Source organism: Homo sapiens, chromosome 21 (genome assembly GCF_000001405.40).
Source record: "Homo sapiens chromosome 21, GRCh38.p14 Primary Assembly".
NCBI classification, from domain to species: Eukaryota; Metazoa; Chordata; class Mammalia; order Primates; family Hominidae; genus Homo; species Homo sapiens.
The window spans coordinates 14,414,622-14,416,116 of NC_000021.9; the positions used below are offsets into that span (position 1 = coordinate 14,414,622).

Sequence of the window (1,495 nt, forward strand, 5' to 3'; positions counted from 1 at the left end):
CTGTTGACATCTTGATTTCAGACTTCCAGCCTCCAGAACCATGATAGAAAAAATTTCTGTTAAGTTGAAAAAAAAAAGATTATCTTCCTGCAAACAAAAATGTAATAAGTTTTAAATGCACAGATGAATTCAAAAGGAGAAAGGAAAATGTTATGTGCCAAAAATGAGGTGCCAACTGATCCCCAGAGTGCTAGGTGCATAAACTCACCATGCAGGTTATGGGGGTCTCAGTCCTTGTAACTGAAGAGTTCTATTTTAAGACTTTTTCAGGGGCTGGATATGAAGTCTAGGATTTGACTGGCCTTTGGATCTAAGATCAGTACACAAGCCAAAATTCTTGAAGAGCTATCCCATTGAGAAAAATTATATATTAAGGGGAGAAAAGAGGAAAACATCTGCTAGTACAGGGCAACAAGGGGGATTTTTCTATCTGGGACCTGAGTGAAAATAAAAATGAAACCCAACAAGAGTGGTCTTTTCTGAGAAATCAAACCCCTGGTTCTACAGCTTACAAATTAAGGAGCCAAATTTACACTTTACTGCTGACACTGACACTCCAAGCTGAAGAATTAACATAAAAATTGGTCTTGGGTGGGGGATACTCTTGAATCTCTTGCAGAAGGCTTTGCGAAACTATGCTGGAATTAGAGTACAAGATTCAGGTCACATGGAAATCCTCCCGCAAAATAGCTCAAAACACAAGAGGAGATTTAAAAAAAGGGGAAGTAGAACTTCTAGAATTTTGTATAATAGAATAATCTGAGAAGACTGTAGAATAAGGTTCTGTTTTAAGATGCAAACAAAGAAATTGAAGCAATAGGAAGAAAATACTGCTTTAAAAAAATCAAATAGAATTTATTGGAAATAAAAGTTTCACTTGTTCCTAAGAACAACTGATAAGGTAAAAGAAGTGTCTTTATAGATTATCTTTTACCTGATAAGGTAAAAGAAGTTTATTTATAAATTATTTATAAAAGAAGTTCTTTATAAATCATCTCGCTTTAGGCATTCTGTTATAGAAACACAAAATGGACTTAAACACAGGGAAAACTAATCTACTATGGTAGAGGGGAGAATACTTTTGTTACTTTTGCAGAAAGTGTTGACAGGAAAGGACAACAAGGAAACTTGCTGGGCTCATAAATGTTCTATATTTTGATCAGTGTGGTGGTTACACAGGTATATAGACATATAAAAATTGTATGCTACAATTTCTAAAATTTAATGTACTATATGTAGTTTATACCTCAAGAAGAGGTGAAAAAACAAAACCATTTATCAATTGGGTTTATTCAAAAAGAAGAAAAAGGAAATAATATCTGCAAGATATCAAACAAGGAGGTCCTAATTCTCATTTCTTTCACAAAATAATGAATAAACAACTACATGACAAATAAAATAACGAAGGGGGAGCTCTGGAATATAGCGAAAGAGTAGCACAAACCCTGTGGAGCAGAGCAACCTAGCATGGCTGCATAGAATAGGGTGGGAAACA

General features: G+C 34.6%; 1 annotated feature.

The window, feature by feature from the left end:
• Positions 628-767: an enhancer, noted in NCBI's record as "active region_18272". NCBI's record gives its function as "activates an Ori minimal core promoter by ATAC-STARR-seq in GM12878 lymphoblastoid cells {active_cell/tissue: GM12878}" and the evidence as "EXISTENCE:reporter gene assay evidence [ECO:0000049][PMID:35858748]".